Source organism: Homo sapiens, chromosome Y, assembly GCF_000001405.40.
Source record: "Homo sapiens chromosome Y, GRCh38.p14 Primary Assembly".
Taxonomy (NCBI): domain Eukaryota; kingdom Metazoa; phylum Chordata; class Mammalia; order Primates; family Hominidae; genus Homo; species Homo sapiens.
Genome location: NC_000024.10, coordinates 24,177,063 through 24,193,489, shown reverse-complemented (window position 1 = coordinate 24,193,489; position 16,427 = coordinate 24,177,063). Strand labels below are relative to the sequence as shown.

Genomic DNA, 16,427 nt, shown 5'->3' with positions numbered 1-16,427 from the left:
TCCCTGGTCTGTCTCTTGCTGGCACCAAGCTGTGCTGTGCCTGCTGAGACTGCTGGGCCACCCCCACACAGATGGTCTGTGGGGCTTGCTTGATTCCCTTAGCTTCCCAGCCAAGGTGCTGGTGTTGCCAGCAGTGCTGGCAGGAGGAGGGGATAACTAGAGGGGATTTAACTCAACCCGAGGGGCTCTTACGGGATCTTTCCTTGATATCCCTCCAGGTGGGGCTGGCTGCCCTTAGGGCATAGAGACCTCCAACTCCTCCAATGGCTGAAGCTACTTCCTCGAGCAGATGGCAGCTGGCTCAGGCTGGCTAGGGACCAGTGCATGTGAGGCCGGTGCTGGATCACCCCATCAAGGCCATCAGCCTGTGCTTGTTCTTGGGGTTTGAGGGAAACCCAACAGGGATGAATCACGGTTTTTAACCTGTGTTTGTCTGCCCCCCAGCCCTGGACAACTGCAGGCAAAGTCAAAGTTATATCTGGCTCTTGTCACCACAAAAGGCATAGACCAGAAATTATGGCAGTGGGTTGGAAGTCAGGGAGGCTAATTTGGGGAAACTGCCTGGAGGAAGCAGCAACTCAAAAGAGGAGGAGTCCCAGTGTGGGACAGAACGGGCCTTGCACAAGAACCACTAACCCCAGGCAAGCCCAGACATGGCCTTCTGCCTGGAGAGGCCATCTTTGGCCTGCCCAGCAGACCCTCAGCCCCTCCTAGGCCCTGTATTCAGCCTCAGACTGAGTGGTGGCCTGGGGAAGTTGGGAGCTCAGCTGTTCTCATCCCTGGTTCCTTGGCCAAGGTGGAAACAATGGGGCCGGATCTGACTGCTCAGTGGGGACTGTGAATAGCTCTCCAGCAGGAAGCAACAGCAGGGGTAATGGAGGAAGTGTGGGCCCACTTTGGTTTGACACTGCATATGGTCCCCATCTGGCCTCAGAGCCTTTACTCCTTGGCAAACTCAGGCCAATAAGCTCCAGCCCCCACCCTCAATGGCAGCTGGAAGAATGGCCTGAGGGAGAAGTGGGGATAGGTGGGCCACACTGACATCACCCCCAGATACCAGCCATGGCCCCAGCCAATGCATGGAGGCGAGGCATGGCACAGCAGTTGCTGCACAGGAGCCCAAGCACAAGGGCACTTAGGAGAAGGAATCTGAGCAGGGATCAATCTGGCCTGGGGGTGATTCTCCAGAAACTCCATTCCTCAGGGCTGTGACCACCAAGCCAGGTGATCAGGCCAGTGATGTTTCCCTTTCAGCCAGGTCGGGGAGCCAGACCTGGGAGGGAGACTCCTCTGGGGCCCAGGGGATGCAAGTCAGAACTGGCAGAGGCCTCTGGCTCCAGGAACCTCCAAGAAGGAGACCTGAGTTGCTGGGAATTTCTGGGTCTGACCTCCTGCAAAGTCAAGGTCTGGGCTGGACACAAGGTGAGGCTGTGCCTTCTGGTGCCAGGACCAAGGAAATGTGGGGATCTGGGCAGTGCTCAGAGACAGCAACATATAGCAGAACCATGAGGGTGCACCAGCACGGACCCCTTTCTGCAACCCACCCATCCCTCCCTGCAGCACCTCGCCTCCTCCAGGCAAGAATCTGAGCCTTGACCACAGCTCCCTCTCTCACACAGCTTCCTTCTTTGGTGAGAACCACCTGGAGGTGACTGTGGCCATGGCTCTGACTGACATAGACCTGCAACTGCAGTTCTCCACGTCCCAACCCGAAGCCCTCCTTCTCCTGGCAGCAGGCCCAGCTGACCACCTCCTGCTGCAGCTCTACTCTGGACACCTGCAGGTGAGTGAGGGTGAGATTCCTTGTCCAGCTTTGAGTGAACCCCAGCTGGCTGTGTGACCTTGTGTAAGTCACCTTTCTTGGGGTTTCAAGTTCTCTACTGTGGGATGGGCAGCAGCAGCTCAGAAATGGTAAATCCTTCATGAACTGGCTCTGCTCACCAGCTCCCTCCAACCATGTTTCCCACCACAAGCCCTCACTGGCCTTTGTGCTCTGACTGCACTGAACTGCTTTCAGTTCCTGGCCATCTTATGGTCACTTGCTGCCAGTCCTTTGGTCATCACACTCCTCCTGCCAGGTGTGTGCCCCACCCATTCCCTGCACCTGCCTAACTCTAGCCTCTCCTTGAAGTTTCAGTGTGGGCATCCCCTCCTCCTGGGCAAGGCCCCCTCCTGGGCCCCCATGACCCCTGTGCTTCCCGGTGGCACTGCACCAATTTCTCTGCAGCACCACTGTCTGTCCATGACAGTAACAGCACCAGTACTGCCTCAGCTTCATTTTTCCATTTCATCCTTCAAGACACCACAAGCTTTATTATCAAGGAGTCTTGTGGCTCCTTCTTGAGTCTTCCCCCATACCATAAAGAGTTTAAGAACCCAGGGTCTTAGTGCAAATTTGGGGCAAGCTGGGTGCAGTGGCTCATGCCTATAATCCCACCACTTTGGGAGACCAAGGTGGGAAGATCACTTGAGCCTAGGAGTTCAAGACTGGCCTGAGCCACACAATGAGACTCCATATCTATTTTAGAAAGAAAAAAAAAATTAACAAATTTGGGGCAGCCATCTCCTTCCGCACCCCAGTGGGAAGAGGACTAGGGCTTGGTCAGTCTGCTGCTGTCATTGCTGCTCACTGCCACAAGTGTCACTGTTGAACACCTATGTGGTGCAGTCTGGCACTGATGGCTGTTGAGCTCTGTGGGTACAGTGGTGCCACATCCCTACAGAGATGCACCATACCAGGATTCCAAGATCATGGTTCTTAGTGTTCTGGTTCTGCAGTTCCCGTACTCTGCCATCACCTATTCTAGCACCTGGGAGCACCACACCAGAGCCATTTCTTGTGTCAATGTCATGGTGACAGAACTATGTCCTTCATCTCTCCTTGAGATCTTCCTCCCCCACAGGACAGGGAGCTTTTTTTTCAGAACACAGAGCATCTGCCTGGGTTCCCTATCCCTGAACAGTTAGCCTGGCTTCCTTCAGTGACCTCAAGAAACTTTGCCAAACTTAGGGGGACTGATCAAGGGATTCTCAGTTACCCATTATTCCAGGGGTGAAATCTAGATTCCAAGACAATATTTCTGGTGCTTCTCTCTCAAGGAAAGAGGAGGAGAATTTAAAAATACAGGTTGGGTTTCTAGAAGAGCATCTTGCTATATGTCAGTTCATTGTGGGCAAGGACCACATCTGATTCACATCAGGGTCCCCAGAGCCCATCCAGGCCTGGCCCAGAGTTTCCTTTGGTGAGTGTTTGGAGGATGAATAAAGAGATGGCAGGAAGGCAAGAGGAGTGGCACCAGAGGCCCTTGTCCTAGGTTTTCTGCTCTGGGGACCCAACTGTGGGGAACCCACTGTGCTTTTATAAGGGAAATGATGGATTCAAAGTGCTGCCCCCCATCTCCCATTCCCTGTCTCTCCTCAGGTCAGGGTTGTCCTGGGCCAGGAGGAGCTGAGGCTGCAGATCCCAGCAGAAATGCTGCTGAGTGACTCCATCCCCTACACTACAGTTCTGACTGTCTCAGAGGGCTGGCCCACATTGTCAGTCAATGGGTTTCTGAATGCCTCCTCTGTAGTCCTGGGAGCCCCCCTAGAGGTCCCCTATGGGCTCTTTGTTGGGAACACTGGGAGCCTTGGCCTGCCCTACCTGAGGGGAACCAGCCATCCCCTGAGGGGTTGCCTCCATGCAGCCACTCTCAATGGCCACAGCCTCCTCCGGCCTCTGACCCCCGATATGCATGAGGGCTGTGCTGAAGAGTTTTCCACCAGTGACGATGTGGCCCTGGGCTTCTCTGGGCCCCACTCTCTGGCTGCCTTCCCTGCCTGGGGCACTCAGAACAAAGGAACCCTGGAGTTGGCACTCACCACACAGATCTGGCAGGCACCCTTGACCTTCCAGGCAGCGGGCTGGCATGGGGACTTCATCCATGTGGACATATTTGAGGGCCACCTGTGGTTCATGGTCGAGAAGGGCCAGGGTACTGTATTGCTCCTCAACAGTGTGCTTGTGGCTGACGTGCAGACCCTCAAGGTCAGCATCCACATCAACACTCACCAGCTAGAAATCTCCATGGACCAGTACCCCACACGTACTTTGAACCGAGGAGTCCTCAGCTGCCTGGAGCCATGTGACAGTCTCCTTCTTGGGGAGCTGGTTGCAGAGGCCTCTCATCCCCTCCAGGAACACCACTGAGGCCTGACACCAGGGGCCGCCAATGCCTCCCTGCTGGGCTGGCTGTATGGAAGACCTCAGTGTCAATGGCCAGAGGTGGGGGCTTCGGGAAGCCTTGCTGACACACAACATGGCGGCAGGCTGCAGACTGGAGGAGGTGGAGGAGTATGAGGACAATACCTATGGCCATTATGAAGCTTTCTCCACCCTGGCCCCCAGGGCTTGGCTGTCCATGGATCTAGCTGAGCCATGCATGCTTGAGCCAGGGCTGCCTCCTGTCTTTACCAATTTCACCCAGCTGCTGACTATCAGCCCAGTGGTGGTGACCGAGGGTGGCACAGCCGAGTGGTGGCATGTGCAGCCCATGCTGGCCCTGATGGAGGCTGAACTGCATAAATCCCAGGTGCTGTTCAGCGTGACCTGAGGGGCACACTACAGTGAACTCGAGCTGGACATCCTGGGTGCCCAGGCATGAGAAATGTTCACCCTCCTGGACATGGTGAACTGCAAGGTCTGCTTCATCCATGATGGCCCTGGTGCTGGAGGTGTTGGTGATGGCTTGGGTGCCCATGCCTTCATGCCTGCGGAGGGGCCAAACTGACCTCCTGCCCATCCAGGTCAACCCTGTCAATGACCCACCCCGTATCATCTTCCCATGTGGCAGCCTTATGGTGATCCTGGAACACACACAGAAGCCTCTGGGGCCTGAGGTTTTCCAGGCCTATGACCTGGACTCTGCCTGTGAGGGCCTCACCTTCCAGCTCCTTGGCACCTCCTCTGGCCTCCCTGTGGAGCACTGAGACCAGGCTGGGGAGCCGGTGACCCAGTTCTCCTGCTGGGAGTTGGAGGCCGACAGCCTAGTCTATGTCCACTGCAGTGGCCCTGCATAGGACTTGACGTTCCGGGTCAGCAATGGACTGCAGGCCAGCCCCCCGTCCATGCTGAAGGTGGTGGCCATCCAGCCGGCCATACAGATCCACTGCAGCACAGGGCTGCATCTGGCCCAGGACTCTGCCATGCCCATCTTGCCTACCAACCTGTCGGTGGAGACCAGCACCGTGGGGCAGGATGTGACTGTGTTGTTCTGTGTCACCAGAGGCCTGCAGTTCAGGGAGGTGCAGAAGCAGGGGGCTGGTGGGGTGGAGGGTGCTGAGTGGTGGGCCACACAGTCATTCCACCAGCAGGATGTGGAGCAGGGCCACATGAGGTACCTGAGCACTAACCCACAGCACTATGCCGAGGACACCGTGAAGAACCTGGATCTGCAGGTGCAGGTGAGCTGGGAAATCCTGAGCAATCTGTCCTTCCTAGTGACCATCCAGAGAGCCACTGTGTGGATGCTGCAGCTGCGGCCACTGCACACTCAACACCCAGCAGAGGCCCTCACCACAGCCCACCTGGAGGCCACCCTGGAAGAGGCAGGCCCAAGCCCCCCAACCTTCCACTCTGAGGTGGTTCAGGCTCCCAGGAAAGGCAACCTTCAACTACAGGGCACGACACTGTCAGATGGTCAGGGCTTCACCCAGGATGATGTACAGGCTGGAGAGGTGACCTATAGGGCCATGGCACATGCCTCAGTGGCAGTGGAGGACACCTTCTGTTTCCATGTCACAGCTCCACTATATTTCTCCCCACTCTGTACTTTCTCCATCCATACTGGCGGTGACCCAGACATGCCTGTCCTCACCAATGTCCTCTTGGTGCCCGAGGGTGGTGGGTGTGTCCTCTCTGCTGACCAGCTCTTCGTCAAGAGCCTCAACAGTGCCAGGTACCTCTATGAGGCCATGTAGTGGCCCCGCCATGGGAGGTTGACTTGGTGTGGGGCACAGGACAAGACCACTATGGTGACTTCCTTCACCAATGGAGATCTGTTGCATGGCCAGCCGGTCTAGCAGCATGATGACTCCAAGATCACGGAAGATGATATGCCATTTGCTGCTGCCACCAGGACCAGAGCAGTGGTGATGTGGCCTGGGAGGAGGTACGGGGTGTCTTCTGAGTGGCCATCCAGACTGTGAATGACCACGCCCCTGTGCAGAGCATCAGCTGCGTCTTCCATGTGGCCTGGGGTAGGTGGCAGCTGCTGACTCCACACAACATGGCCTTCAGCAATGCTGATTCAGGCTTTGTGGATGCCCAGCTGGTGCTGACCCACAAGGACCTCCTGTCTGGCAGTATCATGGCCACGGATGAGCCCATGCAGCCCATCTTCTGCTTCATCCAGGAGGGGCCTCAGGAAGAGGCGAGTCCTGTTCACGCACTCAGGCTGACCATGGCTGGATCCTGCTGCATGTGTCCGACAGGCAGCACCAGGCCATCTTGGTGCTGGAGGTGCAGGCCTTGGAGCCTTACCTCTATGTGGCCAATGGCTCCGGCCTCAAGGTCCCTCAAGGAGACCAGGGTACCATCAATATGGCCGAGCTCCACCTGGGCACCAACCTCGACATCCGCAGTGGGGATGAGGTCCACTACCACATCACAGACAGCCCTTGCTGGGGACAGTTGCTCCAGGCCACTCAGCCAGCACAGCCTTCGCCCAGAAGGACCTGCTGGTTGGGGCCGTTCTCTTTGGCCACAATGGCAGCCTCAGCTCCCGCAACACCCTGGCCTTCTCAATGGATGTGGGGCCTTCTCAATGGATGTGGGGCCTTCTCAATGGATGTGGGGCCAGTGCACACAGACAGTGCACACGGTGCACTCTACAAGTGACCATTGCCCTAGAGGGCCCACTAGCCCCACTGAAGCTGGCCTGGCACAAGAAGATCTACATCTTCCTGGGAGAGGCAGCTGAGATCAGAAGGGACCAGCTGGAGGTGAGGAGCTGGGGGTGGTGAGTGGGGGTGTGGACCAGGTAGAGGGCCTTCCTCCCAGCCTCCCTGCCGGGAACACATGTGACTTGGGCTGTGCCTGTGGTGGTCCCAGGTTGCGTGTGTGCACGTGCCTCAGATGTGCTCCCATATATGTTGTGTTCCCAAGAGTTTCTGGGGAGCTTGCTGTACACCCATCCTCCGGGGAGTTGTGTGTGCCTCTAGAGGTGGTGCCCACTCATGTCCATGGCATGGCTGAGCATGCAGATTCCTGGACCCCACCCAGCCCTACAGAATCTCTGAAGTGGAGCCCGAGAATCTGCATTGCAGTCAGTTCCCTGGGAAGGCATCACGGGTCCTGAACTTTTGGGATTGCTGGCCGTGGAGACAGGCCACTGCCCCTCAGACCCCTGTGTACCCTGCTTTTTTCTCAGAGCCCAGACCAGGACTAGGAGGGTCTGTCAAGGGCTTCTGCTCATCCAGGAACCCCACAGAACCCCACAGACCAGCCACAGGCCTTCCAGAGATCTCACTGACATGCCCTGTGACCTCAGGCCAGTCCTTGCCCACTCTCAGCCTTACTCTCCCACACTGCTCATTTCGGAGACCCTTCTGGTCTGCATCTGAGCGTGGGGCCCACGGTGAGCCAGCAGATCTGGCATCAGGAAGGTCTCATGGGAGGAGGCAGTGTTTGGGCTGGGCTCTGAAGAGCACAGGCCATCTGGAGCAGGGAATGGGGAGTGGTATTCCAGGCAAAAGGAACATTCCTGGCAAAGGCACAGAACAGGAATGTGAGTTTGGGGGCAGTTCACAGGGGAGGACCTGGTGAACTTCACTCAGGGAGAGGTAAGGGCCCCACTCTGCAGTCACCACTCAGATGCGCCCAGCCTCAGGTGGCCACTGTGCTATGGACATCATGTGGACATGGGCACCAGCTCCAGCATCACTGTCAGCAGACACTCCCGGGCCTGCCATGGTCCAGGGCCCTGGTGTCCTGCCCTCCAGGAGTCATCAGGCTGGTGGGGCAAGTTCATGTTCCCAGAAGGAGGGAGAAGGATGCAGGAAGTTGGGGATACAGGTCCCTAGAGCAGGGCTGGGGTCTTGGGGTGTGGCTTCCAGAAGGAAGCTACAGCTGGACCCAAGGGTCTAGAGAGGGAGCACCATGTAGGGGCACTAGTGGCACCCCAGTAGCTGGTGAGGGGCAGTGCTTGGTGGGGGATGGAGTCAGAGGTGAAGCAGCTGCTGGGGCCTGTGGGCAGAGGTGTGAGCCTGGGGCTCAGATCAGGTGCCAGCCAGAGGCAGAGTGGATCCTAGGAGCAGATGAGCTGATGAAAGGCAGCTGAGTCAGCCAAAAGGGGGAAGCCACTGTTCATCTGTCCTGGTGGCTTCAGGGAAGAACTAGAGCTCTCAGCCATGGGTAGTGGCAGACTCTGTGTGGTAATTGTGCCATGGGGACCAGCCCAGTCATTGTTTAAATGAACACCTCTCCCCAAAGGCAGAACGGGAGTTGTTCCATAGCAGGGCAGAGCAGGGCAGACTCTTTGTGGGCCGTCCTGGGCAGGCAGCACACCTGATGCTCCCACCAGGAGACTGCGTGAGCATCTGGACCCAGCACATGATCACAGTGAGTTCTGGGTAGGGAGTGGTCTTGTGGGGCGCAGAGCTGACTCTGTCATTCAGGAGCCACGGCACGCAGCACTGCCTCAAGTACCTCCAGAGGGGTCCCACTGCCAGCCCTTGAAAATGGCAGAGCCCACACCTAGCCCCCTTTTCAAGCTCCCTTGCTTGGGCAAGGACCTCCTGAGCCTGGCAGTCTCCCTCCTGAGAGGTGCAGATGGTACTCAGCAAGTGCAAAGCCAAGGTTTCTTGGGCCTCTCACATCAGTACCTCCCAGACCTGGGTTCTTTATTTCCCCAGAGCTCCACTCCTGCTATGGCACCCTCCCCACAATGAGATATTCATCAGGCTGGTGTCTACAGCTGCTGCATACCCTCAGTTGCTGGGATCCTTTGTCAAGAATGCCCAGGAATGAGGAGGGCATGGGACCAGACCATCAGCAACCCTCTTGCACTCTATAGTCCCACGTTACTCAGAGCTTCCCCATGCCCCAGCAAGATGGACTAGATTGAATGGTCACCAGGGGTCCAGGCTGGCAGTGCCACCCAGGAAAGCCGGGAAGAGGCTACATGGGCTACCTGGCCCACTCAGGGAGGAGGAGGGCAGGACTGGGTATTGTCTTGACAGCAGCCCTGTCCCACAACACTGAACTGGGCTGGGAAGGGGTCAGGTGTCCTTTTTCAGGTAAGAAAACTGAAGCTCCTGGAGGGCAGGTAACTGTATTCAGAGCACATGGCGAGTAAGAGGCAAAACTTCTGCTGGCAAGTCCAGGATTTCTGTCACCAGAGGACACTGCTTGCTCCCCAGAGCTCAGGACCCTGTGTTTTGTCTCACTCCCACTCCTGGAGGCCGAGACGGGAGGATCACTTGAGCCCAGGAGTTCGAGACCAGCCTGGGCAACATAGTGAGACCTTGTCTCCACACAAAAATTTTACAAATAGCTGGGCTTGGTGGTGGCACGTGCCTGTAGTCCTAGCTACGTGAGAGGCTGATGTTGGAGGATTGCTTTGAGCCCAGGAGGTGGAGGCTGCAGTGAGCAGTGATCACTGTACTCCATCCTGGTGACAGAGCGAGACCCTATCACTGCCCCCTGCCCTGCCAAAAAGAAAACTGAGTAGACAGGTGTCTTCTTGGCATGATAGGTCCTAAGTCCCCTCCCAGATCTGTGACATTGGACAGGTGTCTTTTCCTCTCGACCTCAGTGTCCCCATCTGAGTGAGAAAAGGCGGTGGGGAGGGGGATCTTCCAGTTGAAGCGGTATAGAAGCCCGTGTAAAAAGCCATACTCCAAGGGGCTCCAAGTCCAGCACACAGTCCCAGCAGGGCCCAGCAAGGCAGCCAGGGTGGCACAGGCAGCAGGTCCCAACCTTCTTCCCTGTTTGTCCACTCTCAGACCACGGAGTTCATCATCTCGGAGCCGCTGGCCAATCTGTACTCATGTGGGGACCAGAACACACTGATGGAGGAGTTGGCAAAGCAGGCACAGCAGCGCGACAAGATGCTGTGCATGCACCACGCGCTGAAGGAGGCAAATGACATCAACAGGTGACATCAACAGGACCACCGTCAGCATGCCCATGCCCCCGCCTGTGGATGACACCTGGCTGCAGGTGCAGAGTGTCCCTGAGGAACACAGGTACCAGGGACTGGCCCCCATAGCCCCAAAGTCCCCCATCCGGGCCACACAGAGGAGTGCCCAGGGCTTAGTGGCACGCTCCCTCATGGGGTGGTTCCCACCTGGAGTAAGGGGTGGAGCTGGGATGTTCTCACCACTGGGGGCGGGGCTTAAGCTCCGGCGACTGTCTCTGGGGGTGGCCGGGGCTGGGGCGGGGCCTCAGGGGGGCAGAGCCGCCCATCTCTCCCCTCCCTGTGCCTTGCAGGTCACCCAAGTCCAGCCCCAGGATGCCCAGACCCTGCCATGTCCCTAGCCCGGCCTGGGTGGCGGGCCCAGCTCTTGGGCTTCCTCTTGCCAGGTCCACCCTTGGGGAAGCGTGCCCTGTACCCTCCAGGCTAGAGGCTTCCCCTGATCCCTTCGGCCCCTACCCCACCAGGTGCACTCATGCCCCACCCGGGGTCTCCAGGTGAGTAGGGGCTGAATGCGACCAAAGAGGCTGCCGGATGGGCGTGGCCGGGATGGAAATGGGACTGGATTCCAGAGCATCAGACCTGGCCGCCTCCATCCAAGGCACTGGGACCATGGGTGCCAGAGCCACGTGTGGCCAAGGGCTGGCGGAGCCTGCCCCCCAGGGAGCACTGACTCCTGGAAGTGGTCGTTTTTGAGGGGGCTGTGGGGCTTGTCCCACCTGCCCCCTTCTGTCCAGTATGTGCATGGCACTTCCATCTTGGTGGGTTTTCACTCTTGGCGGCTGCCACACTTTGCATTTCTCTTCCTTTCTTCTTCTCACTGTCCTCCATCCTCCATTCTGTCCAACTCCTATCCCAGCCCCTGGGGAGCCTACCTCAGGTCTGAGAGTCTGGGTGTGTGGATTTCCTTCAGCTACCCGGATGTCCCCACTTCCAAGTCCTGACTCCTTTGAGCCATCTCAGGGGGTGTCCAGCCACTGGACCACAGGAGTAGAGGCCAGGCTGTGACTGTGTGACCAGCAAGGTGTGTGATGTGTGCAGGTGCAAGCACACGACTGTGAGAGTGTAAGAATGGCACCCAGGCCTCAGCTAGGACAGAAGCAGCTGGGGAAGGAGCCTGGGGGCCACAGGCAATCTGATTTTTTCTCCACACCTGGACCACTCACCCTCTATCCCTAACCCTGTCTAAACTAATGGGGTAGTGGTAGCTGCAAGGGCAGGGATGAGAGTGGCTGAAGACTACTTCACTCCCAAAGATTTCTAAGGAAAATGGTTCTACCGCATCCTTTGGCTTGGCCTGGTTGACCCATGACCCTCTTTCAAGAACATTCACTCTGATTTCCAGTGTGCCCTGTTTCTACTGGCCACGTTCTCTAAGGAAGAACAATAGCATCTGTTTTTGTTTCCAAATGGCTGGACAGTGGGGCTGTAGGTCCAGCGCCCATATACAAAAATGAAGCAGGGATTGGGGCTTGCCCTATGACGTGCTGATGACCAAATTAGATGGGTAGAGGGAAGCAGCATAGTATTGGGCAAGATCACTGGACTGGGAGTCCAGAGATGCTGCTTCACCCTGGGGCTTTAAGCAAGTCCCTTTCCCTCCCAGAGCCTCAGCATCCCTTCTATGAAATGATGACGTTCTGCTTTTCTCCTAGGATGGCTGTGGGGATCAAGGGAGACAGTGGCCATAGGGATACTATGTTAACTGCAGATGTGGCCATAGGAGCACTTTGCTAACTGCCAACATGAGTTCAGACTCTTCAGGCTATTTGGCACCCAGGTCTATGGTGAGGTGTGACATATGGGATGCAAAGTTTGATGCCTGCTCCGACTCCAGTCTTGCTAACACACACGAAACCTTTGGCAAATCATGACCCTGCCTTGGGGAAAAGGGCAGTCTGGGAGAGTTTCTTCAAGGCAGCCTGGCTTCAATGCAGTCCGGGGCATGACTGAGATAGGCATACGTTGTGAGGAACTGGAGGGTAACTGGGTAAAGAGCTGCAGTGTGGGCAGAAGTGTAGTGTGGGTCACATTGAGGATAGCCACTGGCCAAAGCAGGGAACAGAGACAGAATGAGGAAGAGCTCTGTGGGGAGGGTGGGGCACCGGGTGGAGAACCTTCAAAGTCCAAAGAGTATGACTTTTTGGGATTCAATGCTGTAGGCAGTAGGGAGCCATGGAAGGCTCTTAGGTGGAGAAATGACAGCCGGACATTAGTGAGCAAGCCCTGTCTCCCTGAGCAGCATGGGTGGTCCTCTGAGCACGCCAGGCACGAGTGTGCAGGGAGCTGGTGCACATGCCTCTGTGTGCGGGTGAGCATCTGTGTTGTGACTCTGCCCACGCATGTACTTCAGTGTGCCGAGTGGCTGCACGCCCCAGATCCATGCAGCACGTGCCGGCCGGTGAGGGTGCTGGGCACCGGGAGGTGGTGGGGAGGGCGACGTATGCGTGTTGTTTGTGGGCATGTGTGTTAGCGTGTGCATGCGGGCCGTGGGGCCTCACAGCATGTGTGTGCACACTCCGGTGTGTGCGTGTGTGTCCCCCACCCCCAGGCCTGCCCCTTCCTTCTGGAGCTGCAGACTTGCTCCTTCCTTTTTCTGTCCTTGTGCTGCTGGCTGTCTCACTTCCCTCCTTGTGAGCCATGGGACTCAGTGCCACTTCTCAAGGTCTCCATGGCTGAGCCTGGGGGCTCCATGCCCAACCTGGCAGACATGGAACCATCAGAGAGGGCACAGAGCTCATGGTTTATGGTGTAGGGGCTGGGAGCTTCGAGGGGGTTGTGTGAGGGGCTGGACTCAGGCGGCCAGAGACCTGGGAACATCATACTGGGCACGCCGTACCTTTCGTGTGGTCTGAGTCATGCTGCCAGGGCAGGGATCCAGCTCCCAGCCTGGGAGTGCTGAGAGCCAAATCCACTGCAGATTAGGGGTGGTAGTCAGGGTCCCACATCCTCTATCTGTCAGCAATCCAGTGGTGATCTAGGATAAAAGCCTGAGAGTCCTATACACATGGTCATCCCACAACACACTTCATAGGCCATGGAAGGACACACAGCCCCCTTCCCTCCCTCCCAGGTACCATGATAGCTGCTAGCATGTGACTGAAGGCAGGGTCCCTGGCCCCTGCTGAAGCACTACTGCTGGCCAGCAGGCTCATGCACCTTGGCCTGTTGCTTCTAGGGTTCGCCAGTGCTATTCAGCCAAGGGGACCCCAGTGCATGCTGGCCCAGCTGAGCTCCACCTAGAGAGCTCACTTCCCTTTCCTGCAACGGAGTCTCCCTCCTCTGCTTTTCCCAGCAGGAAGGGCCCAGCCACACCTATGTAACCTGCAGCCCCCCGCTGACCAGTTGAGGCTCCCATTAGACTTAGAAGTCTATGGCCAATGGCATCCAACTACCTGCCCTCCCTGCCTTCCCCAGGTTCCCTCAGAGGACCCTGGGCTTTCTGATGGCTCAGAGGGGCCTCTGGCATTCACTCCAGCCAGCCGTCCCTTATAGATCCACCATTTTGGTTCAGTGTTCCTTCTCTATCAGGCTTGGTGGCTGTTGGATGGGGCTCTCCAAGCAAGAGGTGGCCCTGGGCCAGTGGGTTGGAAGACATGGGGACCACAGAAGAGGGAAGCCCGAGGGGGCTGGCATTGGTCTGAACTGTGGGTGGATGGGTGGATTGCCTGGGTGCCATGAGAGACGCCAGCGTGTGTGGGGTGGGGAGGGCCGCCGCAGTCCCCAGGCACTACCTATGAAGCTCTGGCTTCTCCCTCCATCTTCCTCCCCTTTCCTTTCTAGCCCCTCTTTTCCAGGAACCTTGCCATGCCCACAGCTACGCCCTCCCCTCCCCGGCCCTCCCACAGCTTCTGCAGCGCACCCATACTCTGCACTCGCCTCACCAGCTCTGACTTTTCTCTAACCCGTTTTCTCTCTGCTTTCTCTCCAACTACCAGCTGATCGGGTCAGGCAAGTCCATCCCATCCTGAGAGCCCCAGGCCCCACTTCGACCTCTAAACAGATTCCTCCTCTTCTCAGAGACCTCCCTTTCCAAGCCTGCCTGGGTGGGTGTCCTGTGACTTGACAGTGGCTCCCCCAGCCCCAAAGCCAGCCCCCTTCATCTGTGACTTAGTCTGTTGTAGTGGTGAGCTGACACATCCAGGTGTGACCATTGCTGAAAACTTGTGCCCCCTCTGTGGTATGCCCCTGCCCAGTTCTATAAATAGCTATAAATTCTCTCTCTCTCACACACACACACACACACACACACACATATATACATATATATACGTGGCCAACTGCCTCAGCTCTAGCACTGGGAATCAGTCCCCGTGCTGTGCTTGCGGAGTCTTGTGGACCAGCAAGAGGAAGCTGTCTCCTGACATCGCCCCTCCAACGTGCACCACCTCCATTGAGCTTCCGGGACATGCGTGGCCTGCGGACAGCTAGCCCCCGCCATCCCTCCCACCCTTCTGGCCAAGCATGGCGGTGCTGTGCAGGCAGCTGTGTGGCCTGACAGCCTCTACCAGTCCTGCTGTCCCTTGGCTGAGAAACCCATTTCTGGATGACAGAGAATGTGTCCTCTGCTGGCTGTGTTCTCTATGGACCTCAGGGGACGGAAAAAGCCAAGCCATTTTTAAGGTGTTGTTGGGAGCAGTGAAAAGGTCACACCCTTTTCAAGGGACACTTTTCCTGGAAAGTCCCTGGAGCTTAGCTGGATCTCACCCTGTGAAGCCAGCTCTGGCCACTAGGGGACAGGGCCCTGAACTCAGCCTGGAGGGAACCTGCGGGGCAGCCGGCACTCTGGAGGGACAGACAGGCCACCTGGTGCAGACAGGAGAGGGAGGCAGGGGGACAGAACGGAAGACACTTAGGGTGGATGGAAGTCAGTGCCCTTGGGCGCAGGTATCTGCCTTCCCTGCCACAGCTACATCAGGCTTCTCAACCAGTTGGCTGTCAGGGCCAGACTGTACTCCGTAGGTGACATGGCAGTCCCCATGAAATCCACCAGGTGTCACCAGGCAGCATACAGGTAACAGGCCTGGAAGGTCCCCAACAGCCCAGCTGGACATTCTGAGACACTCTGGGGCTCCTCATTCAGTGGGACAAACTGCAGGACCCAGTGAGGGAAACAGGAACATACCAGGCCGAGCAGTATGGCTAAATCCATTTATTCCAAAATCAAAAGCAAAAAAAAAAAAAAAAAAAACCGAGTACCATCACCAGGGAGCCATGACCCCATCCCCGCCTCCTTCCTTGCTCCTATGCTAGCAATAAATAAGTTTCCCAGCCGTGAACAATTATAAGAACCTCTTCCTCATATGCCAGCTGCAACCTCCGGTAGGTACGATACAGAATGTTACACAGATACAGTATGTACACGGGGGAAGGGGGGCCACCCCCAGCAGCCTGTGCCCTCACCTCATCTACAGTTATCTCCACTGTCCCGCCTCAGCTGCCTCTCTGAGTAAGAAGATGGGAGCCCCCCTGAGGGAAAAGTTGCTTTGGTGAGAGTAAGGAGGCCATCAGACCTCCTCCAAACAAACCAACTCCACCAACCTCTGGCTCTTACATAACAAACATCATCATCCAGAAATGTAAGGACTCAGGCTTGGTCAAGGTGGTAAAGGGTCTCTTTGTCTCCCTCCATTAGACAGGGGTCTTGTCTTGCTACCCTAATGGTAAAGGAGTGACAGGGAAGGGGTTGTAGGGACATGGTAGGGGTGAAGAATCCAGACCCACTTCTCCAGGCGTATGCTGACAGGGGCCTTCTTTTATTTATTTTTATTTTTATCCCATGATGTTTTTTTAAGTCCTGTAACTTCTTTTTCAGGATGTTTTGAAAAAAAATTTCATAAAACTTTTTTTACTTTTTTTCCACAATTTTTTTGCCACAACTTGTCCACAGTATTTTTTATCCCGTAACTTTTTCATCCCACAACTTTTTTAAATTCCTGTCACTTTTTTAGTTTGTGTTCTTTTAATAAACACACTTACATAGTTACAATTTTGTAAGAATAAAAACCGATTATCTCATGCCAAGCATACCCAGAATTTGCAGAGTCTCAATACCCAATACTATAGTTTTCAAGACACACAAAATTTTTAGGCAAAACAGCACCTTGAAACAATTTAATAATGTATTACATTATAGTAGCATCACAAAAGCAGTCAATAATGCCACTTTAGACAAAAATCAGTATTTCCATTATGCATTCTGTGTATAAGAATTCATAAATCAGTAAAAGTCATTCTAAGAAAACTTGGCAA

The 16,427-nt window shown here is 56.0% G+C and overlaps 3 pseudogenes; all 3 read left to right on the top strand.

The window, feature by feature from the left end:
* Window positions 1,615–6,982, top strand: CSPG4P3Y (CSPG4 pseudogene 3 Y-linked; annotated as a pseudogene).
* CSPG4P2Y (CSPG4 pseudogene 2 Y-linked) lies at window positions 6,260–10,057 on the top strand (annotated as a pseudogene).
* On the top strand, window positions 10,858–15,947 carry DNM1P24 (dynamin 1 pseudogene 24; annotated as a pseudogene).